The 24,108-nt window shown below is 53.9% G+C and overlaps 1 protein-coding gene across 4 annotated transcripts in view, besides 5 other annotated features; it reads right to left on the minus strand.

The window, feature by feature from the left end:
- Positions 1–24,108, minus strand: part of CELSR1 (cadherin EGF LAG seven-pass G-type receptor 1) — a 176,447-nt gene that overhangs the window by 140,937 nt on the left and 11,402 nt on the right. The gene's annotated exons all lie outside the window — the stretch shown is intronic.
- Positions 4,997–5,957: an enhancer, noted in NCBI's record as "H3K27ac-H3K4me1 hESC enhancer chr22:46903004-46903964 (GRCh37/hg19 assembly coordinates)". NCBI's record gives its function as "activates a minimal SCP1, AML or CMV promoter by ChIP-STARR-seq in primed H9 embryonic stem cells {active_cell/tissue: H9 hESC(primed)}" and the evidence as "EXISTENCE:reporter gene assay evidence [ECO:0000049][PMID:30033119]".
- Positions 9,159–9,659: an enhancer, noted in NCBI's record as "H3K4me1 hESC enhancer chr22:46907166-46907666 (GRCh37/hg19 assembly coordinates)". NCBI's record gives its function as "activates a minimal SCP1, AML or CMV promoter by ChIP-STARR-seq in naive H9 embryonic stem cells {active_cell/tissue: H9 hESC(naive)}" and the evidence as "EXISTENCE:reporter gene assay evidence [ECO:0000049][PMID:30033119]".
- Positions 12,161–13,077: an enhancer, noted in NCBI's record as "H3K27ac-H3K4me1 hESC enhancer chr22:46910168-46911084 (GRCh37/hg19 assembly coordinates)". NCBI's record gives its function as "activates a minimal SCP1, AML or CMV promoter by ChIP-STARR-seq in naive H9 embryonic stem cells {active_cell/tissue: H9 hESC(naive)}" and the evidence as "EXISTENCE:reporter gene assay evidence [ECO:0000049][PMID:30033119]".
- Positions 15,026–15,791: an enhancer, noted in NCBI's record as "H3K4me1 hESC enhancer chr22:46913033-46913798 (GRCh37/hg19 assembly coordinates)". NCBI's record gives its function as "activates a minimal SCP1, AML or CMV promoter by ChIP-STARR-seq in naive H9 embryonic stem cells {active_cell/tissue: H9 hESC(naive)}" and the evidence as "EXISTENCE:reporter gene assay evidence [ECO:0000049][PMID:30033119]".
- Positions 20,792–21,292: an enhancer, noted in NCBI's record as "NANOG-H3K4me1 hESC enhancer chr22:46918799-46919299 (GRCh37/hg19 assembly coordinates)". NCBI's record gives its function as "activates a minimal SCP1, AML or CMV promoter by ChIP-STARR-seq in naive H9 embryonic stem cells {active_cell/tissue: H9 hESC(naive)}" and the evidence as "EXISTENCE:reporter gene assay evidence [ECO:0000049][PMID:30033119]".

Consider the following 24,108-nt stretch of genomic DNA (forward strand, 5'->3'; position numbering starts at 1 on the left):
AGTAGCTGGGCACAGTGGCGCACAAGCCTGCAGTCCCAGCTACTCAGGAGGCTGAGGTGGGAGGATCACTTGAGCCCAGGAGGTCGGGGCTGCAGTGAGCTATGATTGTGCCACTGCACTCCAGCCTGGGTGACAGAGTGAGACCTCATCTCAAGAAAAGAAAGGGAAGGGAAGGGGAAGGGAGGGTGGGGAGGGGAGGAAGAGGGGAGGAAGAGGGGAGGGTAGGGAGGGGGAGAGGAGGTGGGGAAAGTTGGAGGAAAGGGGAAAGGGGAGGGAAGGGTAAAGTGGAAAGAAGAGGGAAGGGGAAAGGGGAGGGAAGGGGAGGGAAGGGTAAAGTGGAAAGAAGAGGGAAGGGGAAAGGGGAGGGAAGGGGAAGGAAAGGAGAAAGAGGAGGGAAGAGAGGGAGGGAAAGACGCAGAAAAGGAGGGAGGGAGAGAGGGACGTTATTGAGAAACTGGTGATCAAAGTCACTAGTGACAAAGCTGACTCTTCCGAAGCCCCAGTGGCATGGCCAATACTTTGCTTTGTGCTTTACAAATCCCTGTGAAATTGGTCTCACCACCCCACTGTCACATGGGGAAATCGAGATTCTCAGAAGCTGAGTGACAAACCTGAGGTCACCAGGCAAGTGACAGATGAACCCCATGATCATAGCCCCACACTCTCCTGACTCTCTCTAACTGTTCCCCCTTAACATTAACTATTAAACCACCGTGGCCAAAATCGGCAGCAAGGCGTTTTTAAAGAAGCATGCTCCGTAAGAGGTGGTACAGCCACTGCTGACCTTAACATAATTCCCGGGAGACAGCAAGCTGCACAAGAGTGTGCACCCCGGGAGCAGGTCCCCGCAGGCCACGGCACTCGGAGAGAAGATCAAAGGCTCGAGTTGGAAGTGCCCACTCCATGGGCAACTCCAGGACAGCCCCCCTTCTCCGTGCCCACCCTCTGCAGCAGCTTTGTCCCTTAACAGTCGGGGGAGGCTCTCTCCTGATGAGGTAAGTGGCCTCGGATGGCCTCAGATGGACAAGACTCAGCTTAGCTATAATCACAGGACAGGGACAGGACCTAAGACCCAAGCAGACTTGGAGCCCTTGGAATAGAGGCCAGCCCCCAGCAATCCAACCTGCCTCGCTCCAGCCAGGAGGGCAGCAGACCCTTTGCTGGGAGATTCAGCCTCTGCTTCCAGCGACCCTTTCATGCCAGACGCTACCAGGGCAGCTGAGAGGGTGCTGAGCACGCAGGACGGGAGCCACACCTGTACTTCCTTCTGTTTCCCAGCCTGGGTGCACTGATCTCCCCTCCCTGCCATCCCCATGGTGGTGAGGACACAGGGGAGGCCCCTACAGCCGTCCCCACTGTGACCACGGGAGGCTACTGAGACACAGGAAGAACCACATTCACTATGAACTCAACCAACTGCATCCAGCGAGAGGAAGCCAAGAGGCCCGAGGCCGGACCAGGCACTTCTTGATCCGCCCGTTCCTTCACTTAAGCCTCATGCAACCCTACGGGGTCAGTATTACTGTCCCTATTTTTAAAAACCGAAAACGGGGCCCAAAGAAGTTAAGCAAGTTGTCCAATGGCACACAGAAGCCACTAATGAACAAGACGGAGATCCCACAACAAAAAATATTTAAGGCTGGGTGCAGCGTCTCACGCCGGTAATCCCAGCACTTTGGGAGGCTGAGGCAGGAGAAACTGCTTAAGGCCAGGAGTTTGAGACCAGCCCTGGCAACACAGCAAGACCTCTGATAAAAACTAAAAAATTTTAAAAGTAGCCAGGTGTGGCGATGTGCATCCGTAGTCCCAGCTACTCAGGAGGCTGAGGCAGGAGGATGGCTTGAACCCAGGATTTGAGGTTACAGTGAGCTATGACAGTACCATGCACTCCGGCCTGGGCAACAGAGCAAGACCTTGTCTCAAGAAGAGAAAAAGAAAAACATAAACATTTAAGACCTACATGGCAAAAGAGACCATTGAGTTAAAATAAAATTCAAAATTATGAAAGATATTTGCAACAAGTTAAAAATTCAAAATAGTTAAAGAAATGTAAATCGATAAAAGATAAGCAATCTAACTGAAACTGCAGACTGGCAATTCACAGAAAAAACAGGAATGGCTGGCCAAGCGCAGTGGCTCACACCTATAATCCCAGCACTTTGGGAGGCCAAGGCAGGCGGATCACAAGGTCAGGAGTTTGAGATCAGCCTGGTCAATATGTTGAAACCCCATCTCTACTAAAAACACAAAAAAATTAGCCGGGTATGGTGGCAGGCACCTGTAGTCCCAACCACTTGGGAGGCCGAGGCAGGAGAATCGCTTGAACCCAGGAGGCGGAGGCAGCAGTGAGCTGAGATTGCGCCACTGCATCCCAGCCTGGCGACATCTGTCTCCAAAAAAAAAAAAAAAACAAAAAAAAACAGGAATGGCTGCTAAGCAGATAAAAAACTGCATCTTCCCCAAAGAGACATGCAAATCAAAAAAGGAAGACATTTATTTTTACCTACAGGATTAGAAAAGAATAAAAGAGCTAATCTCTCCAATGAGGATGAAAATATGGCAGATTTCATCTTCACACACGGCTGGCTCTAGTATTAATTAGCACAAATATTCCCGAGGCCATTTGACCACGGTTATCAAATGTGAGGTATGCAAATCCTCCGCACCAGTAATTTCACTTCTGAAAATTTATTCCTCAGCAAAACCTCAAAAGTTACTCACACACACACAGACCACACATCAAACTAATGTTCCCTGAAATGTTATATGAAAAAGAAACTTGGAAACAAATATAAAAAAGAGTGCTGGCTGAATATATTGCAATACATCAACACAGTGGAAAATGAGGCCATCTCAAAAGAGCAAGGAAAGGCCGGGTGCGGCGGCTCACGCCTGTAATCCCAGCACTTTGGGAGGCCGAGGCGGGCGGATCATGAGGTCAGGAGATCGAGACCATCCTGGCTAACACGGTGAAACCCCGTCTCTATTAAAAATACAAAAAATCAGCAAGGCATGGTGGCGGGCTCCTGTAGTCCCAGCTACTCGGGAGGCTGAGGCAGGAGAATGGCGTGAACCCGGGAGGCAGAGCTTGCAATGAGCCGAGATGGCGCCACTGCACTCCAGCCTGGGCGACAGAGCAAGACTCTGTCTCAAAAAAAAAAAAAAAAAAAAAGAGCAAGGCAGGTCTTCATTTGCTAGAACGCAAGGTCTGCAATCAAACATCCTTAAAAAGCAACTTGCAAACCGGGCGCGGTGGCTCACACTCATAATCCCAGCACTTTGGAAGGCTGAGGTGGGAAAATTGTTTGAGCCCAGGAGTTTGAAACCAGCCTGGGCAACACAGCGAGACCTGGTCTCTATAAACAATACAAAAGTGAGTATGCACCTGTAGTCCCAGCTACTGGGGAGGCTGAGGTGGGAGGACTGCTTGAGCCTGAGAGTGGAGGCTGCACTGAGTCAAGATCCCACTGCAGTGAGTTGAGATCATGCTACTGCACTCCAGCTTGGGTGACAGAGTAAGACCTGGTCTCAAAATAAATTAATAAATAAAAATAAAAAGCAATTTGCACTTGGAGGTGGGTGGGGAAACACAGAAATGGTGTATATGTTTATACCCAAAGAAAAATGTTCGGAAAGACACCCAGAAAGCGTTGATTTGCTACTTTATGCACCTCTCTTTGAATTTTTACAATGATGTTTTACTTTTTTTATTAATGAGATTCCTAAGGATTTTAAAAAATAAATCTATTCTACCCATCCTTGCCTTCCCGTCAAAAAGAAACTACTGGCTGGGCGTGGTGGCTCATGCCTGTAATCCCAGCACTTTGGGAGGCCGAGGCAGGTGGATCACTTGAGGTCAGGAGTTTGAGACCAGACTGGCCAATGTGGTGAAACCCTGTCTCTACTAAAAATACAAAAATTAGCAGGGCATGGTGGCAGGCACCTGTAATCCCAGCTACTCGGGAGGCTGAGGCAGGAGAATCACTTGAACCTGGGAGGACGAGGTTGCAGTGAGCTGAGATCACACCATTGCAGTCCAGCCTGGGCGACAGAGACTGTCTCCAAAAAAAAAAAAAAAAAAAAGAAAAAGAAAGAAAGACAGAAAAGAAACTACTGACTACTGACGGATTGCTGGGTTCTGGATGGACATGCAGAGCACCCGCCATGATCCCTCCAAGCCTGGCACCTCCACCGTGCCTGGCCTGGGGGAGCAGCAGAGCCCCGCAGGCCCTGTTGGGGTTTGGGGAGGCCCCACCTCCCTCCTCAGACTTACTGAGCCCCTCAGTTTCCCAGATCTCAGACTTGGGCTCAACCCCTGCAGGCCTCACACTAGGCCTCCCTTTGTGTATCACAGTCCAGCAAGAGTCCAGCCCAACCGGCCCTGCCTCAGGTCTGCGTTCTGCCAGCCTCAGCCCCAGCCCCAGCCCCCCAAGTCTCACAAGTCCAGAGAGCTGTCTCACCTCCTGGAATTCTCACCCATTTCCAAGACCACTTCCTTAGGGTGATGTTTCTAGGACTTTCAACATCTACATTCTAGATCAGTTTTCAGGGCATACCCTCCCTACCCGCAGTGACGCACAGCCGCTGAGACAAGCCCAAATCGAGAGTTACGTTCTAATTTTAAGATCTCTGTGCCACCATCCAAATGTGGACAGATGCTGAGATCTCTCCGGAAAGATGCCCGATAACAGGAAGCTGAGGCCAAGCCCGGGGGTGTCTTCTCCACGGTCTGTCACCCGCACCACCAGGACACAGCCTGCACACACAGGAAGTCCTTTTTTCCAACACATAAAAACCGATTCCAGGCGGGGCGTGGTGGCTCACGTTTGTAATCCCAGCACTTTGGGAGGCCGAGGCGGGTGGATCACCTGAGGTCAGGAGCCTGGCCAACACGGTGAAACCCCGACTCTACTAAAAATACAAAAATTAGCCAGGTGTGGTGGTGTGTGCCTATAATCCCAGCTACTCGGGAGGCTGAGGCTGGAGGATCGCTTGAACCAGGGAGGCGGAGGTTGCAGTGAGCTGAGACCGCACCACTGCACTCCAGCCTGGGCGACAAGAGTGAAACTCTGTCTAAAAAAGAAAACAAAATAAAAAACAAACCGATTCCAATGGAGCCACCGGGGCAGCAACCCCAAGCACCCCAGAGAGAGCACAGAGGCCACAGGTGAGAAGCCACGGCTGGGGGGCCTCCGTCCAGCACCACAATGCCTGCTGAAGTCGGGGGGGTAGCCAGGGAGCTACTGGACTACCAAGAAGACACCATCACTGCCTCCCCTTCAGCAGCCGAGGCAGGGGGCCCATGATGACCCCCACAGCACCCCGAGCAGCTGCAGCGTACTCCAGCTGCCCCAGCGGCTCCCTCCCTCCCCGGCCTCTGTGTGGCCCTGGCTCAGGTGGGCTATACTCGGTGTGCCCCAGGCCCCAACAGCCTGCGGTGTGAGTCCCAGCCCAACACTCCTCCCCAACCCCTCACCAGGCCACGTGCACCCCTCAGTGCAGGGGCCCCGCTGTGACCCGCCTCCTCCTCCTGCCTCGCCCGCAGTCTGGGCTCACAGGCTGCAGTCTGGACTCCCTCTCCCATCCCTGAAACTTGCTGGCTGTGCCGCCCGAAGCCCCGCCCCTAGAGTACTGGGGAGCCTGTTCAGTGGGGCAGGGGCCCCACTACAGGTGAGCACTGTGAAGCCGGCGAGCCTGCCTCTTTCCCAGAACCTAACACAGCCCAGAGTACAGTGGGCAGTCAGAGGAGGCACTGGGGGGCTGCATGGAGAAAGGACATGGCTACCTCCTCACACCCCCCTACCTCCCACCTCAGCCGTCCTGTGCCGTGGCCACCCATCTGGCTGTTCCCAGGCCGTAGGCTCCTAGGTGGGATAACCATGCTGGGGATAGCTTGGTCCCGCCGGGATAGCCCTGGCTGCCAGCAACGCTGTCATCATCACTGCCCAGCTCTGGTCCTGGCCCACAGGCCTTCCATAAACCGGCACAGCCTGTACATGCCCCTTTGTGACTCGGCCCTGCAGGCGTAGACCCCCTCCCCCACGGCTCCTAGGACACCAGCTGACCCCCTCCCACCCACTCTCGCCACTCTCGCCCTGCCCTGGCCACAGAGGTGAACAGATCCTGGGCGCCAACTGGCCCCCGCGGGACAGAAGCCAGCCCTGCTCGTCCACACACCCAGCAGGTGTGCGGGAGGATTTGCCCCGGGAGGAAGGTGAGGGTGATGGGGGTGGAGGGTGGGATGGGAGGGGCACATGGGCCCTGCCTCCTGCCTGCTTCCCCCTGACCGTCCCCTGCGTGGTGGTCATCCCCACCCTGTGGCCCCCCCACCCCCGCCCCTTGCTGTCCCCTCGCTGTCCCCTCACTGTCCTCCTGCCAGAGCCCTTTGTTGCTGAGCATTTCTCACAGCCGGGGTCCCCTCCCCACCAAAGGGCCTCACTTACTTGCCAAATTCCAGCTGTCCCTCAGCCCCTTCACCGTGGCCTCCCACCCCCTCACCGCCTGGGGCGTCCAGGGCTCAGGGAGGGGCCTCTCCAGAGCCACCCCCACCCCATGGCGCGTCGCCTTCCAAGGCGGTGTGAGTCTCAGTTTGGCTGGAATTTAGAAATGTCAGATTTCTAAGAATGAATATGTTAAACAGTTTATAAATAACACAATCCCCATGGGAATGCCGAGACACGCCTGCCGCGTGAGAATGGTCTCTGAGACCCTGAGACGTTCCCTGTGTCTGTGAACCTGGGAAACTGGGCCCCGGGGACCGCCATGCAGTCAGACCCTGCTGTTGTCTCCGCCAAGGCCAGCGGCTACGATGGTCAAAGCAACCCCGAGCTCCCAGAAGGCTCCAGGATAGCCACGACCCTCACCTCTTTCCAACCAGTGGCCTCCATCTGGGCAGGACAGGCCAGCGCTCAGCCATTTTCTCTGCTAGATTTTAAAGGCGTCATCATCACACGACACCTCCTAGGCATCCTGTCCCTGTATCTGGCACCCCTCCAGTGCCCAGGGCCTGCACTGAGTGAGGGGCTGGGGGGCTGCGAGGACACTTCTCTGCTCCCATGGCCAAGTCCTAGAGAGTCCCCAAGATGGCCAGGTTCACAGGCACCACAGGGTCTGGACAAGGGGGTGCAGACCTGCAAAGCGGGGGCTCCAATGACCCCATGTGCCATGACACCTGCAAGGCAGCTCTCATCACGGCTTTCTACAGATGAGGAGATGGGGTGCAGAGGGGGTGATGGGTACCCCAAACCACTGAGCAGGGCAGGGTTGGGCCAAGCCAGCCTCCTCTCTACCTGGGACCCACAGGCTACTGTTCTGTCGGTGTTGGTCACTGCGTTGTCACAGTTTAAGGAGCCCTGAGCCCATGCCACTGGCCATCCAGAGGGCAGCCCACTTCCATGGCAGTCATCTCAGTGGGGGAGTCAACTGGACAGTGGGTGCTACTGGACCCCATTACGTGGTAGGTAAAGGCCAGGTCACTGCTCTGTACCCAGCAGTGCTCAGGATGTCCCGTCACAGAGGCCCTGAATATCAGCAGTGCCAGCGGTGCTGGGGGAGACCCTGCTGTCAGCTCAAGTGAGTAGTGAGTACGGGAGTGAGGTGGCGGGGTCTGTGGGGCTCCTGAGGATGGCTGGCCTCAGGGAGCTGGGAGGAGGGGTTTCACGAGGGGATGGCTGTGGGGGTCAACAGGGTAGCAGGTGCGGCAGGGCAGTACCCATGCACAATGCAGGGGCTCAGTCCAGGGACCCGGCACACAGGTGAGTCCTTCTCCAAGATGTCATGATGCGTCCAGTGAGGAACGAAAGACACGAAGTGCCCCGCTGCCCGGCTCCACTCACAGGGCGCAGGTGACAAGGCTGGGGACTTCATGCCACATCTGGCCACAGGGCTGGAGGCCATGCAGGAAGGACAGCCCATGTCCCTTTCCAGGGCAGGAGGCAAGAACATGTCCAGAAGGCTGGCTCTAAAACCAGTGAACTGGGCTAGCTCCTAACCCTCTGCATCCAGCAGACGAGGACGGCCCACGTGGCACCCTCTGCGTCTGTCTCTCACCCATTTAGGTGAAGTAATAATAACAGCTAAGGTCTTCTGGTGTGAAATAAAAAAATGATTTTTTTAAAACGAGGGATCCAGGCTCAAGCATTTTCAGGAAAGGAAATATCTAGTTGCTCAGCTCATGCCACAGAGGCCAGAACACACCCCCTTCCTGAGCCACAGAGGCTGGAATGCACCCCCTTTCCGAGCCACGGAGGCTGGAACGCACCCCCTTCCCGGAGCTTCCCCTTGGAGGTAATTAAAGTGAGCCAGACACACAAACAGTCCTTCAGGGCCCCATTGTCCCTGGACAAAGGGACCGCTCTTCAATGTAAGGGCCCCATGAGGTGCCCCCTTGGCTCAGGGAGGGCCCATCGCCATGACAACCCCTGCCAACAGGAGAGGCGCTGCGGTAAACGCTGGGGGGACGAGAGCCGCCTTCATCTCGGCTCACACGCAGCCCCAGAAAAGTCAGAGCGCAGCGGAAGGAAAATTAAGACATAAAGGAAAAGGCCCCTGGGCTTGGGTTTGGGGGTGTTTTCCTTTCTCCTTTATGCCTTTTGGTACAGCCAAAATTTTCTAGAGTGTGTGTGCTTATCTTTGTGAACAAACCAAAAATATTCCTATTCTGAAAAGCAACTTCTAGTGCTCCTGATAAAGCTTTAAAGATTCAAAAACACAAAGTGCTGGCCGGGTGCGGTGGCTCATGCCTGTAATCCCACCAGCACTTCAGGAGGCCCAGGCGGGTAGATCACCTGAGGTCAGGAGTTCGAGACCAGCCTGGCCAACATGGCAAAACCCCATCTCTACTAAAAATAGAAAAATTCGCTGGGCATGGTGGCAGGCACCTGTAATCCCAGCTACCAGGATGCTGAGAAGGGAGAATCTCTTGAACCCAGGAGGCGGAGGTTGCAGTGAGCTGAGATCGTGTCATCGCACTCCAGCCTGGATGACAGATCAAGACTTCGTCTCAAAAACACACACACACACACACACATACACTCACAAAGTGCTGGTTTTCTTCACATTATAGACCCTTGGCAGTTTTTCTGGTTTTGTTTTTACATAGAAGATGGACACCAAAGGTGGGACAGAAATATGATTCACACAGAGAAAAAGCACATGCAACAAGGGCACACCTGGAGACTCCCTGAGAACCACACGCAAAGCAGGTGCCCCCGGCTCTTCCAGTCTACACAGCTGGCTGCTCACCACAGCCCAGGGCCCCCACCACAACCTCCTGGCCAGGCCCTTAAATCCCAACCGGGACCAACACGTGTGTCAAAGCATCGCTCCAAAACAGAGCATGGCGTGGAGCAGACTTTCCTTCTGCTCTATTTCATAACACGATAGTGACTGTGCTGAGCTTCTTTGGCACGCTGTCGTTCATTCCTTCAACAAACACTGACTAGGCCTTGACTTCGGGCCAGGCACCCAAAGCTCAGAGAGCTGTGGATCCCAGGACTTGAGAAGCTCAGGGCAGTCAGTGGGGCTGACAGCGCCAACACCCCCACAATGCCACACTCCCCTGGGGGCAGCGGGCATCACGGGACACCCCAGGGGGTGATGTGCTGAAGGCCAACAGTGGGGAAGGCAGGGAGAGTAGGGGGCAGAAGAAGAGTAAGAGGGTGAGATGAGGGAAGGAGGTGTCTCCCTGGTATGGGGCAGCCCCAGGAAAAGCCACTTTTCCCACTGACGGGGGCTACCAGCTCTGTAAACATCCCTCGGTCATTAGACACAATGACCCGCCTCTCTGCTCACTGCTCATCCCAGGCACTAGGTAAGAGCATCCCCTGCCCGGATGACATGACGGTCACCTCCTGCTTTTCTCCTGGTGTCAGCTCTTACAATTCTGCCAGGATGTCCTTCATGCTGCCTCCGAGAAACGCAGCAAGTCATTCAGGTTCTGGGGTCCTGAAGTGCCCCGAGCCCACCCCCAGATCCCAGCCCAGTGGCCCCCACGCTGCCAGGAGCTCTCAGTGTGGCAAACACAGCAGCAGCAAGAGTGACGGCGGCGCTCATAAGCCCTTACTAAGCGTGCTGCCCTCGAGGGCTCACAGCTAGGGGCAGGTGTCCCGGATTTGCAGAGGAGGACCAAGAAGCACTCAGGGACTGAGGTGTCAGCCCCCAAATCAAGGTCCAATACTGGCCAGGTGCGGTGGCACATGCCTGTAATCCCAGCACTTTGGGAGGCCAAGGCAGGCGGATCACATGAGGTCAGGAGATCGAGACCATCCTGGCCAATATGGTGAAACCCCATCTCTACTAAAATACAAAAAAATTAGCCCGGTGTGGTGGTGTACACCTATAATCCCAGCTACGTAGAAGGCTGAGGCACGAGAATTGCTTGAACCCGGGAGGCGGAGGTTTCAGTGAGCCGAGATCACACCACTGCACTCCAGCCTGGGTGAAAGAGTGAGACTCCATCTCAACAACAACAAAAAATCAAGGCCCAATACTATGCATTGCCTTGACATCTGCTGAAGCCAGGAGGCCTCAAATGGCCTCACCACAGGTCCCCCGCCCCACTCTGCTCCTTCGGATAAGATCCCTCCACAGTCAACCCTTCTTGTCACGGGGATCAGGCACAGCTCCTGCTTATAGAGGGTAGCGGGTTTCCGTTCCCTGCCATCCAGAGGAATTATTCAGACAAGCTACCCATGTGCCCCTGCAAGAACCAGGGGCCCCCCACCCTCTTGTTCCTTCCGGGTCCGGGCTTGTCCCCCACAGCACCTGGCTGTCCTCTGCTCCTGAGTGCTGCCCCGGGTGGCCCCGCATGGCAGGCGACGTCCTCCTCCAGGCTGGGCCTCTGTGCTACTCACGCACTGCTGCTGACCTCATCTGTCCAGTGTCAGGTGCTCAGCAATCCCCATCATCCTAGGACGGGAATCCATCCCTCCCCAGTGGAGTGAATAGGAGGCCATTTAACCAGTGAGTGACTTCTGGGGCGAGATTCAAACCCGCGACCACCATCACGGGCGCCTCTCAAAATCACGCGACTGGGGACAATACACCTGGGGACTAGGCCATGTGGGCTCAACGCTGCTGCAGTGAGCCAGAACACATGAAGGAAACACTCAAGGAAAGGCGGTATCCAACTACGGCCTTTATTCCTCTACTATCAGGCAACACAGGGAAGAGTGTTCATGATCACGAGAGGCAACATGGCCTGTAAGTGTGCAAGAGGATTAAAAATACAAGTTCAAAAGCATTCCCCACGTGGGGTCCTGAGTTTTACAGGACACTTAAACCAGCCCACATACCTGACCATACCAAGAAGTCCAATGCAGTCACACAAAAACATGTACACTAAAAGGGAGGCAATCCAACACACTTCAAGTTGCAACTTGAGTATTTCAAGCAATATTCTCAACCATAAAATCTTAGGAGCCAAGATCAATGTGGGGAGGCCTTAGGTTTACCATAATGAGACACTGCCTGTACACTGTTATAATTGGCCCTTATCTCGTGCACCAGGGATAGGAGTCCCAGCCCTGCAGTGTGCACTTCCTACGGGCAGCAACACTTCTGTTTACTCCGTCACTACATCCCCAGAGCCAACACTCACCTGCGCAGAGAGCCTCCTAATAAATACTGGTTGGAATATGGCCCAGAAGCTCAAAGCCATAGATAAGTTTATTAATACTTTTTGTTGTTGTTGTTGTTTTGAGACGGAGTCTTGCTCTGTCGCCCAGGCTGGAGTGCAGTGGCACAATCTCAGCTCACTGCAGCCTCTGCCTCCCGGGGTTCACGCCATTCTCCTGCCTCAGCCCCCCCCGAGTAGCTGGGACTACAGGTGCACGCATCCACACCCAGCTAATTTTTGTATTCTTAGTAGAGACGGGGTCTCACCTTGTTGGCCAGGATGGTCTCGATCTCCTGACCTCATGATCCACCCGCCTCACCCTCCCAAAGTGCTGGTATTACAGGCACGAGCCACCGCACCCGGCCCTCATTTGTAATTTTTCACAGCTCTTTACTTGTCTTGTCTACACTTTTCTCACATCCCAGCACCCACCTGGGAAAGGTTCCTGGGGTCAGAATCATCTGACCTTGACTGTGGGTCTTTCCCACCCAGGTAGGCTCCAACACCAGGGGAATCCCACCCAGTCCTCGAGATGACAGTGTCAAAAACCCAGTAAGCGAGACTACTCACAATGGAGCCGGCATTTCTGAAGGGTGATTATTTAAGCCACACCTCAACTGCGGGCCTATGTGATGCTGAAGCTCTTCCACCCAGACGTTTCACCAGGCCCCGACGGTCCATCCAGGTGAGGGCTGGAGTCAGGTCCACCTGCACTCTGATCCCCGGGGGCCCAAGGCCACACACCTCTGGCTGCCAGTCAGTCAGAACCAGTCCTGGTGAGGTGGGGAGTGGGGGCATGAAGGATGTGGCCTGAGGACACCCCAACAGCATCTGTGTATCACCGCCAGACCCTTGCTGAAAGTCAGGGATAATGCAATGGCCCCTCTCAGCACCTCCCCAGACCTCCCCAGACTCTGTGGTCCCTCCTCCCAGCATCAAAGAGAAGAGTCACTCCCCGGAGGGAGCCGGGGCTGCAGGGCCGAGGCTCACGGCTGGGCTCTGGAATAAGAGGGGTGTTTCTGAATGAATTGCCCAGCCCTGTCCTGCCTCGCTGAGTCATTCCCAAGTCAGCAAGCACAAGTCACTGCGGGAAAAGCTCTGGAGCTGCCACCCCTTCCCACCCCAGGGATGCCTGTCCGTACCCGCCGTCAATCCAGCCCTCAGGCCTGGGGGATGAGCACCTCAGACGTGCTCTTTGCAGCTGGCATCCGCTCCAAACTCCATGCCTCCCCACAAAAGTGGCTCTGTCCAAACCCCAGCCCTCTTGGGCCCTGGCAACCAGCCTAGTCCTCGCCAGCCCCTTCTAGAAAGCACCCCCAGCACCCCCTCAGCTTCAGCCTGGGCTGAGAAAAGGCTGTCTGGCAGCGTGGACCCCCCTCAGCGTCCCAGCAGAGCCAACCCCCCCCGGGGACACTCATGGGACACAGCATGGGCAGTAGGAGCCATTCCACCCGTGCATCAGCCCTCTGGCCACACTCTGGGACCTCATGGCCCTGCCCACCACTCCCAGCCCACAGCCAGGCAAGTGACCCCCACCTGGGCCCTCCTGGGGAGAGCTGCACAGCTGTCGGCAGCACAGCTGGAACCACAGCCCAGCGGTCTCAGTGCGTATCACAAAGGCTAGCTTGTGAGTGGATGCTCCCAAGTCACATGACCCCCAGGTAGGAAGGTTTGCACATGTTTCATCAGGGTAAAGGGAAAGAGGCTCACCTTAAACACAAACTCTATGAAGGCCTTAGACAGAAAATAGGAAAGCATGACAGTCTGTGTCTCCATGGTGAAGTCAGCTCTGGGAGGGCTGAGCCTGATGCAGAGTGGGTGTGCACAAGCTGCAGGGCACCCCGGGGGCTGGAGGTGGAGGACACAGCCAATAGGACGGGCCTCAGTCACACAGTGCTCAGGGCTGGGGACTCAAAGGCACAGAGGCTGAGGCTTTGTAAGTCCTGCTGGGGGATCAGGGGATGACTAAGTCACTGGGGCCTCCCCAGCCTGGCAGGCTCCTATCTGTGTAACAGGCTCCCAGCAGCCAGTGTAGGAAGGCAGCCCCGGCAGGAGGATACACCAGGACATTCCGCCCATCCTGCAGATCTCCAGCACTGACCAGCATCCACAGCACAGTCGACTGGGGTTAAGAAAGTAGGAATGAGTTCAGAGAAATGCAAATCAAAACCACAATGAGATATCATCTCACACCAGTTACAATGGCGATCATTAAAAAGTCAGGAAACAACAGGTACTGGAGAGAATGTGGAGAAACAGGAACACTTTTACACTGTTGGTGGGACTGCAAACTAGTTGAACCATTGTGGAAGACAGTGTGGCGATTCCTCAAGGATCTAGAAGTAGAAATACCATTTGACCCAGCCATCCCATTACTGGGTATATACCCAAAGGATTATAAATCATGCTGCTATAAAGACACATGCACACGTATGTTTATTGCGGCACTACTCACAATAGCAAAGACTTGGAACCAACCCAAATGTCCACCAATGATAGACTGGATTAAGAAAATGTGGCACATATACACCATGGAATACTATGCAGCCATAAAAAATGATGAGTTCATGTCCTTTGTAAGGACATGGATGAAGCTGGAAACCATCATTCTCAGCAAACTATCGCAAGGACAAAAAACCAAACACCGCATGTTCTCACTCATAGGTGGGAACTGAACAATGAGAACACTTGGACACAGGAAGGGAAACATCACACACCGGGGCCTGTTGTGGGGTTGGGGGAGTGGGGAGGGATAGCACACCGGTTTTGGGGGGTTTTTTAAAATTTTTTTTTATAGACACAGGGTCTCGCCATGTTGCCCAGGCCGGTCTTGAACTCCTGGCCTCAAGCAAGCCTCCTGCCTCGCCTCCCAAAGTGCTTGGGATTAGAAGCATGAGCCACCACACCTGGCCAGGACATACTTTTCAAAGCTCATTTGCTGCCACCTTGACACCTCCCAGGTAATTTCCTCGACCAGCTCATGTTATGTGGCTCCTCCGGCCCAACGGACCACAAAGTCCATTCCCTCCACTTCTCACCCAGGCACACGACTCTCTCAGGACACAGGCAACACCCTATGTTGTGCCAGGCAGGAAGCTGCGGGGTGGGGACTGGCAGGAAGGCAGGCGGCCGAGGGCTGTCCCCTCACCCTCCCTCCCCGTTTCCCACTGCAGCTGACCCCCACTGACCCATGCCCAGAATCCCACCTAAACCAGTGTCACGGCTGGCAAAGCCATGGGATGCCCTTTTCGTGTTTTAAAGCAAAGGAACCTTTATCACCCATAAGGGATGAGCTGGGCTCATCCACTTCCTGAGGCTGGTGACTCTGGGGGAAGAATCCAGAGGGTCTGGCTCTGGCCAGGGCAGGTTCTCACCCCAATGGATCATTCCCCTGAGGTATACAAACCACCTCCCCATCCCCCACTGCCTCAGTTTTCCCAGCTGCAGAGCATGGAGCTGCCAGGTGCAAGTTTGGCCCCTGAAGGGGCTTGGCCCATTTTCCCACTGCTCCACCTTTGCTCTGGCAAAAAATGCTGGGCCGATGACCCGCAGGAAAAACAGGAGGGAAGAGAGAATTCCTGCCACAAATGCAATGGGTTTCCCGGGCCAAACCGGAGACTTGGACGGCCGTCCAACACCAAAGCCACCGGTTTCCTGCCTACGGGGTCATCCCGGCCTGGTTTTCCCCCAAAACAGACTCCATCTGGCACTTGTCATCTTCCACGGGGCACAAGGCGGTATCTGGAGGGTAGAACCACAATGGCTGATGTGCACTGTCCCGGCGCCCCAGGCCGGCTCTTGTCTTGGTACCTCTGTCCACAGTAAGGTGCCCCTGCAGACACGCCGCAAAACACGCCCCTGAGCTTCCCGTCCTGCACACACAGACGCACCCCTGACCTCTGACGGCCACATGCAGGACAGACAGGAAGTCTCACAGAACAATAAACCTTCATATTTTCCATTCTCTCCTCTTTGAAGAATTGGGAGAACTTGCGATTATGTGTTAGAATTTTCCATGCTTAGAAGCGAGGGCTGCATTGAAGAGGCGACTCCCATGGCTATGGCACTTGGCATTGAGACCCAGAGGGAAAGGGAGGGTGAGCTGTCATCTGAAAGCACCCACCACCCTGTGTCCCCATATTCTGTTTATTACACACCTCCCACGGTGTCCCCTTCCTTTTTTTTTTTTTTTGAGACAGAGTTTCACTTTTGTTGCCCAGGCCAGAGTGCAATGGCAGGATTTTGGCTCACTGCAACCTCTGCCTCCTGCGTTCAAGTGATTCTCCTGCCTCAGCCTCCCAAGTAGCTGGGATTACAGTCATGTGCCACCACACCCGGGTAATTTTTTTGTGTTTTTAGTAGAGATGGGGTTTCTCCATGTTGGTCAGGCTGGTCTCGAACTCGTGACCTCAGGTGATGTGATCCATCCATCTCGACCTCCCAAAGTGCTGTGATTGCAGGCGTGAGCCACCACGCCTGGCCTCGGCATCCCCTTTCTAAAGGACATCTCAAAGCACAGCGCGGCCCCTCAGCACAGACGCTGCTATCACAGCAGACCTTACTGAGGAGTCAGAGCCTGTGGGGGCACCATCAGCAGGGGCGCTCAGCCCGTGCCACACTCAGTCTCGTTAGAGGAGAACGAAGGGAGTGGGCTCCCACAGACCACATTGCACTGCGACAAGGCAAACCGATGGTGTGCTCGGGCATTCGGGTGGACAGACTGCAGATCCCACTGAGAAGGGAGGCCTCGGTTATCTGATTTAACACGAAGAAACCAGTCACACACACAAACATGAAGGCAGGCGTGGCAGTGGGTTCACTACCCTGCCCCAATGCCCAGTACCTGTGGATGTGACCTAACTTGGAAATAAAGGCTGCAGATGAAGATATAAATTAAGATGGGGCCAGGCACGGTGGCCCACGCCTGTAATCCGAGTGTGGCTGCGGTCTCTGCCTCCATCTTCACGTTGTGGCCTCCTCATTGTGTGTCTGTCTCTGTCTTCTCTCTTATAAAGACTCCAGTTGTGGCTGGGCGCGGTGGCTCGCCTGTAATCCAGCACTTTGGGAGGCCAAGGCGGGTGGATCACTTGAGGTCAGGAGTTCGAGACCAGCCTGGCAAACCTGGAGAAATCCCGTCTCTACTAAAAATACAAAAATTAGCTGGACGTGGTGGCGCATGCCTGTAATCCCAGCTACTCGGGAGGCAGAGGCAGGAGAATCGCTTAAACCCAGGAGGCAAAGGTTGCAATGAGCCAAGATTGAGCCACTGTACTCCAGCCTGGGTAACGGAGCGAGACTCTGTATCAAAAAAAAAAAACACCAACATAAAGACAAGAAAATACTGCCACGTGCTGCGCTGTGCACGACCCGGAAAACATGACACTGGCCGGGGAGAAGCCAGACACAAAAGCCCACGGGTTGGGGCTGCCAGAGGGTACAGGCTTTCCTTTGAGGGAAATGGAAATGCTTTGGAACTGGACAGGGTGGGGGTGTTGCACACCACTGTGATGTTCTAAACACCACAAAATGGCTCACATTAAAATGGTTAACTTCACGTTCTGTGAATTCCACCTCCGTAGAAACAAACAAGGACAAAGATCCAGCCAAATTGCTTCAGTGTATCCAAATGCTGATACAAATACACTTGAACCAGCGTGTGTACTGGTGGTTTTGGACCCAAGGCTTGGTCATGAAGAGAGGGTGCTGAGGGCCAGCACTGGGCCACACAGAGCACAGGGCTACGATTTGGGAGCCCCCGGGTTGGCCCGGGGAGCAGCGGTCTCAGCCGCCCACTACAGCTCACCTCTTGTCCAAGTTGGTAGAACCAGGCAGAGCCTGGGCATCAGGTCTGAATGCCCAGCTGGTCTCCCTTCCTGGGCGGGGTTGGGAGGTGCCCAAGACATCCACATACCCAGGGACCCCCTCCCATGCCCCTGAGATGCAAGGTCCCAGAACCTGCAGAAAAACCAGGAAACACTGGACCCTGCTCAGGTGCCGCCAGAAACACGAAGCCTTCCTTGCACCCAGGGCCCCTAAAACAGGGAACATGTCCATTTGTGTGGCTGTTGATAATGCAGTCAAATAACCAGAGATTTGATCCATGTACCAGGCACAAGATTTATAGTTCAGTACCTACCCCTATTGCTTTTTTTTTTTTTTTTCTGAGACAGAGTTTCGCTCATCGCCCAGGCTGGAGTGCAGTGGCGCAACCTCAGCTCACCGCAACCTCTGCCTCCTGGGTTCAAGTGATTCTCCTGCCTTACCCACCCGAGTAGGTGGGATTACAGGCACCCGCTACCACATCCAGCTAATTTTTGTATTTTTTTAGTAGAGATGGGGTTTCACCAGGTTGGCCAGGCTGGTCTCCAACTCCTGACCTCAGGTGATCCACCCGCCTCGGCCTCCCAAAGTGCTGGAATTACAGGCGTGAGCCACTGCGCCCAGCCCCCTATTGCCATTTGTGATCTCAAGACATGGTCTAAGAGCACAGGAAAAGGCACAGAAGGAAGAAGAGCCCCGAGCTCAGAAGGAGGCCCTGGATGGCCTCGAACCCCAGGACAGGACCAAAGGAACCCGTTCAGTGCTCAAGCTCTCAGGGAAATCATACCTGAAACCACAGACACAGGCACCTGCTCCCACGCCTCCCACACCTGAGTGTCTGCAACAGTTTGCATTAGTCCTTCTAGCATTTTTTTCTTGTAATAAAATGTACATAATACGGATCTTAACATGGTAACCACTTTTATTTTTGAGACGGAGTCTTGCTCTTCTCACCCAGGCTAGTGTAAAATGGCCTGATCTCAGTTCACTGCAATCTCCTCCTCCCCAGTTCAAGCAATTCTCCTACCTCAGCCTCCTGAGTAGTTGGGATTACAGGCACCCGTCATCAGGCCCAGCTAATTTTTTGCATTTTTAGTGGAGACAAGGTTTCACCATGTTGGCCAGGCTGATCTCGAGCTCCTGACCTCATGTGATCCACCTGCCTCGGCCTCCCAAAGTGCTAGGATTACAGGTGTGGCCCACTGTAACCATTTTTAAATGCACCCACAGTTTAGGGGCATGAAGTACCTTTACACTGTTATACAACCATCATCACCCTCCATCTCCAGAGCCTTTCATCTTCCCAAAGTGAAACTCTGTCCCCATTAAACGCAACTCCTGTCCCCTCCCCACCCCCTGGCAACCACCATTCTACTTCCTGTCTCTATGAATTTGACTCCTCTAGGGACCTCAGTGGAATCATACAGAATTTGTGCTTTTCAGTCTTGCTTATTTCACTTAGCATAATGTCCTCAAGGTTCACCCACGTTGTAGTAAGTGTCAGAATTTCCGTCCTTTTTCAGGCTAAGTAGTATTCCATCATGCAACTGAACCACATGTTGCTTATCCATTCGTCTGTTCACAGACACCTGGGTTGCTTCCACCTTTTGGTTACTGTGAATAACACTGCTATGAACATGGGTGTACAAATACCTCTTTAAAGATCTTGTTTTCAGCCGGGCGCGGTGGCTCACGCCTGTAATCTCAGCACTTTGGGAAGCCGAAGCAAGAGGATCATGAGGTCAGGAGATCGAGACCATCCTGCCTAACACACAGTGAAATCCCGTCTCTACTAAAAATTCAAAAAATTAGCTGGGCATGGTGGCGGGCACCTGTAGTCCCAGCTACTCGGGAGGCTGAGGCAGGAGAATGGCATGAACCCGGGAGGCGGAGCTTGCAGTGAGCCGAGATCGCGCCACTGCACTCCAGCCTGGGCGACAGAGCAAGACTCCATCTCAAAAAAAAAAAAGATCTTGTTTTCAGTCAGGCCGGACACAGTGGCTCACACCTGTAATCCCAACACTTTGGGAGGCTTGAGGCAGGCGGATCATCTGAGGTCAGGAATTCGAGACCATCCTGGCCAACATGGAGAAACCCCGTCTCTACTAAAAATATAAAAATTAGCCAGGTGTGGTGGCACACGCCTATAATCCCAGCTACTGGGGAGGCTGAGGCAGGAGAATCGCTTGAACCCAGGAGGTAGAGGCCGCAGTGAGCCAAGATCGCGCCATTGCACTCCAGCCTGGGCAACAGAGTGAGACTGTGTCTCAAAAGCAAGAATAAAAATAAAGACCTTGTTTTGAATTAGAGCATACCCAGAAGCGGGATTGCTGGATCATATGGTAGTTCTATTTTTCATATTTTGCGGAACCTCCATACTGTGTTCCACAGCACCTGCACCATTTTACACTCCACCAACAGGGCAAAAGGGTTCCAGTTTCTCTGCATCCTTCAACACGTGTTTTCTGAGTTTTTTTGACCACAGTCATCCTAATGGGTATGAAGTAGCATCTCCTTGCAGGTTTGGGGTTTTTTTGTGTGTGTGTCAGTCAACTCACTGGCAAACAGTTATTGCCCTGCAAAAGCGTGTATGTGTTAAACAGGGTCTTACTCTGTTGTGCAGTCTGGAGTGCAGTGATGCAATCTCAGCTCACTGCAACCTCCACCTCCCAGGCTGAAGCGAACCTCCCGCCTCAGCCTCTTGACTAGCTGAGACTACAGGTTCATGCTACCACACCCAGCTAATTTTTTTATATTTTGTATATTTTTTTGGTAGAAATTGCCAATTCCTCGGCTCAAGCAATCCTCCTGCCTCAGATTCCCAAAGTGCCAGGATTATAGGCTGGAGCCCCCACGCCTGCGGTTTCGACTTGAATTTCCCTGTTGACTAATGACTCTGAGCATCTTTTTTTGTGCTTATTGGCCACTTGTATCTTTGGAAGAAATGTCTATTCAAGTCCTTTGCTCATTTTTTAATTCCATTGTTTTCTTGTTGCTAAATTGTAGGAGTTCTTTACATAGTCTGGATATTAATCCCTTATCACATATAGGATTTGCAAATATTTCATAACAGTTTTTAAATGGGATACTTTCTCAGAGCTTGAGACATACATGGGCAAGAAAAAGGAGGTTTCCCCAATCACAGTCAGATCTCCAGGCTGGATCTCTGCTTTTCCATTCCCCAACCTACAGAAGGGTGAGAGGCAGCAGGGAAGGGGCCCCAGGGGATGGCCATTCCACCTTCGGAGGTCCAGAGGGGGCCAGGCAGACCCAGCGTCAGGCAATCTGAACGGGGCAGTGAGTGGAGAACAGCCCAGGCCTCATCTCTGGTGAAATCTCAGGCCGTCTCCAATGCTGGGAGAACACCTGCTCAGCGGGCCCATGCCCAGCATCACAACACATCAAAGGACAGCCCCTGGGGCCTTGGCCGACAGCGGAACTGCAGGGCAGCTGAACAACTTCATTCTGATGATGAAAACCGCCCTGCAACAATCAACTCACTGACAAATGGTTATTGCCCTGCAAGAGCATTCTTATCTCCGAATGCTAACAGGGCATGTGATTTTATTTGAATTAGTTGCTGTTAGTTTACTTTAACCAAGTGTCATTTAGATTAGATATGAACAAAAATCCTAAAAAATATTTAAAAGAAGATACAAAACTGTGAATAAAAACAGACTATTAAGAAAGAAAAATCTTAGCCTGGTGCAGTGGCTGATGCCTGTAATCCCAGCACTTTGGGAGGCCAAGGCGGACGGTTCAGCTGAGGTCAGGAGCTCGAGACCAGCCTGGCCAAAGTGGTGAAACCCCATCTCTACTAAAAATACAAAAATTAGCTGGGTGTGGTAGCGGGCACCTGTAGTCCAGATACCCAAGGGGCAGAGGCACGAGAATCGCTTGAACTTGTGAGGCGGAGGTTGCAGTGGGCTGAGATTGCACCACTGCACTCCAGCCTGGGTGCCAGAGTGAGACTCTGTCTCAAATAAATAAATAAATAAATAAATAAATAAATAAAATAAAAAGAAAGAAAAATCTTGATGGGTGGATGGATAGTTGGAAGGAGGGAGGGAGGGAAGAATACAGGGCAGGAGAAAGGCGACTCCCCGGCTAGTACAATGCAGCTTCTCTGAGCTGGAAGGCCCCTCAACAGGTGCGTCAGCCCCTGCTCTGAGCAGGCTCCTCATCTGGTATCTCCCTCCCCAGGCTCCCCAAATAAGAGCCTCCAGCTCTGACCAGTGACATGCCTGCCTCCCTGCACCTGGTGCCCACCAGTCCTTCACTCTACAGCTTCTTGTGACAGCTCTACCATAAGAGACCCCACAAGGACCCAGAGAAGGCTCCAAGGAGCCCCTTCTCCAGCCTCAGCCCCTCCCACAGTCCTGCAGCACGGCTGCCACTGTCGCCCACCCCCACAATCAGGCACCATGTGCAGGTAACTCTCAGCCGTCCCGTTTCAGGCAACGCAGTCACTTGCACTGAGCTTCCGTCCTCAGAAACCTCCAGCTCTGTGCCCCAGGGCCTCGCCACTGACAGACAGAGGGGACCGAAGATGGCTGTCAGCACCACGATTAGAGCACACAGACCCCAGAGTCTGCGCCTGGCTCTTCCTGTCGCTACAAGCTCTCTAGCCTCAGTTTCTCTGCCCTTACCATGGGGATCCTGTAAGATTTCACTGAGACGATGCAGGCACAGACTGAACAGGCACCGCGGTGGTGGGAAGCACACAGACCCAGGCGGTCCCGCGCCCACTTCTCAATCACCCCTGCTCTGGGCCAGCCTCCTTGCTACATGATTCCCCTCTTACAGGCCTGCCCCCTGTGCTTGGGACACGCGTAAGCCTCCAAACAAGGCCCGCAGCTCTGAGGGACACATCCTGTCCCCTGCACAATCCCCATGACAACTGGAAGGGGCGAAGTCGGTGTGTCGGGCGGCTGGAAGGAAAGGTGTTACCCCACACGATGACCTTGAAAACGGCCCCCACCCCCGTTGTGTGCGTGTGTGTGTGTGTGTGTGTGTGTGTGTGTCTGTCTGTCTGTGTGTTTTGTTTGCTTTTTAAGAGCCCCTGGCCTTCATCCAGGACAAGAGAACAGGCGCTAGAGGGATGACCCCACTAAAAGGCTGCTGTGGGGCTTTTCCCAGCTATGGAATGTTCACGCCCAAAAGGGGGACCTGATTACTAAGGTATCCACAAGTCCTTACCCGAAGCAAAAGCCTAAGAATTCAGTCACTGGTGTTTTCCTGAAAAATGCCCATCCCTTCACCAGGGCGAGTCCCTCAGCACGTGTGGGAGGAAACGAAAACGGCTCCTGGGGGCTGTCCGTGCTTCTGCGCAGCTCCCCTTGTACCCCAAGTAAAGGCACTGGGCCCTCCACCTGGCAGGCAGCCCCCTCCCCTCACCCCTCCGAGGGTCCCCTCCGGCTCATTCCAGAAATAATCCACACCGCCTACCAGGCCCCAGGTCCACAGGCTTCAGGACAGGGAAGCCCAGGGGCCTCCAAGAGGAGCGGCCACTACTGCAAGACTGGCCTCTGGACCCTCATGGCTTGAACTTCCACCTGAATTTCCTCCCAAAACAAGCAAGAGGAAGGCTGGGTCACTGAATTAAAGAGGGTCGTTTACGGCTGGGCGTGGTGGCTCACGCCTATAATCCCAACACTTTGGGAGGCCGAAGCGGGCAGATCACCTGAGGTCGGGAGTTCAAGACCAGCCTGACCAACACGGAGAAAGCCCCATGTCTACTAAAAATACAAAATTAGCCGGGTGTGGTGGTGCGCGCCTGTCATCTCCGCTACTCGGGAGGCTGAGGCAGGACAATCGCTTGAACCCAGGGGACAGAGGTTGCAGTGAGCTGAGATCGCACCATTGCACTCCAGCCTGGGCAACAAAAGCAAAACTCTGTCTCAAAAAAAAAAAAAAGAGGGTTGTTTACTACAACCCCTCCCAGCATTAAGGAATTTCATTCTAGGGAATTTGGGGCATTTATATGAACCCGTGTGTTCAGGTTACAGGAAAAGAAGAAAAAATTAGAAAACGATTTCCCCCAAGGCTGTGAACTGAAGAAATCACACCAAACTCAGGACTGCTTTCTACATGCTGCACCCAGAAGATAACATCTAATTCTGTTTGAATCCAAGTGCTGGCAGGGATGAGCCCCGTGGCACCGGGCCACAGGCCACACCCCAGCTAAGGTGGCCGCTGCCAGGGGCCCCAGACCCCATCTACCCACCTATCCCCTTCCTCAACAGGTTCTGCTATCGGGTTTCAAAATGTGCAGGCACAGGCACCAGCCCAAACCCAAGGGGACCCTTCAGCAGCGACACTGGGGCCAGCGTGGGGTTCTGGCACGCCCAGCAACATGGGCCCGCTCCAGGCGTGGCCAGCACCGCCCCTCCTGCCGGCTCCTGCCCAGGGCTTTGGGAACTTGCCCGGAGTTTCACCTGCCTGCTACTTCACCTAGACTTTTAAAAATGGTCTCTCAACACCCTGGTCGGTACATGGGGCCAGACATAGACCTCTTGTCCCCGGGCAGCTGGTGCTGAGGTGGGCGCCCTGCCCTGGTGAGTCCATGTCCCGTGGACCTGTGGCCCCTTCCATTCTCCCAGGCCCCTTTTTCCCGTCCGCCTCCTGCTCCTCCATTCCCTCCAGGTCTGATGACTCAGAGAGAGGCAGAA

This window comes from Homo sapiens, chromosome 22 (assembly GCF_000001405.40).
Source record: "Homo sapiens chromosome 22, GRCh38.p14 Primary Assembly".
Lineage (NCBI taxonomy): Eukaryota > Metazoa > Chordata > Mammalia > Primates > Hominidae > Homo > Homo sapiens.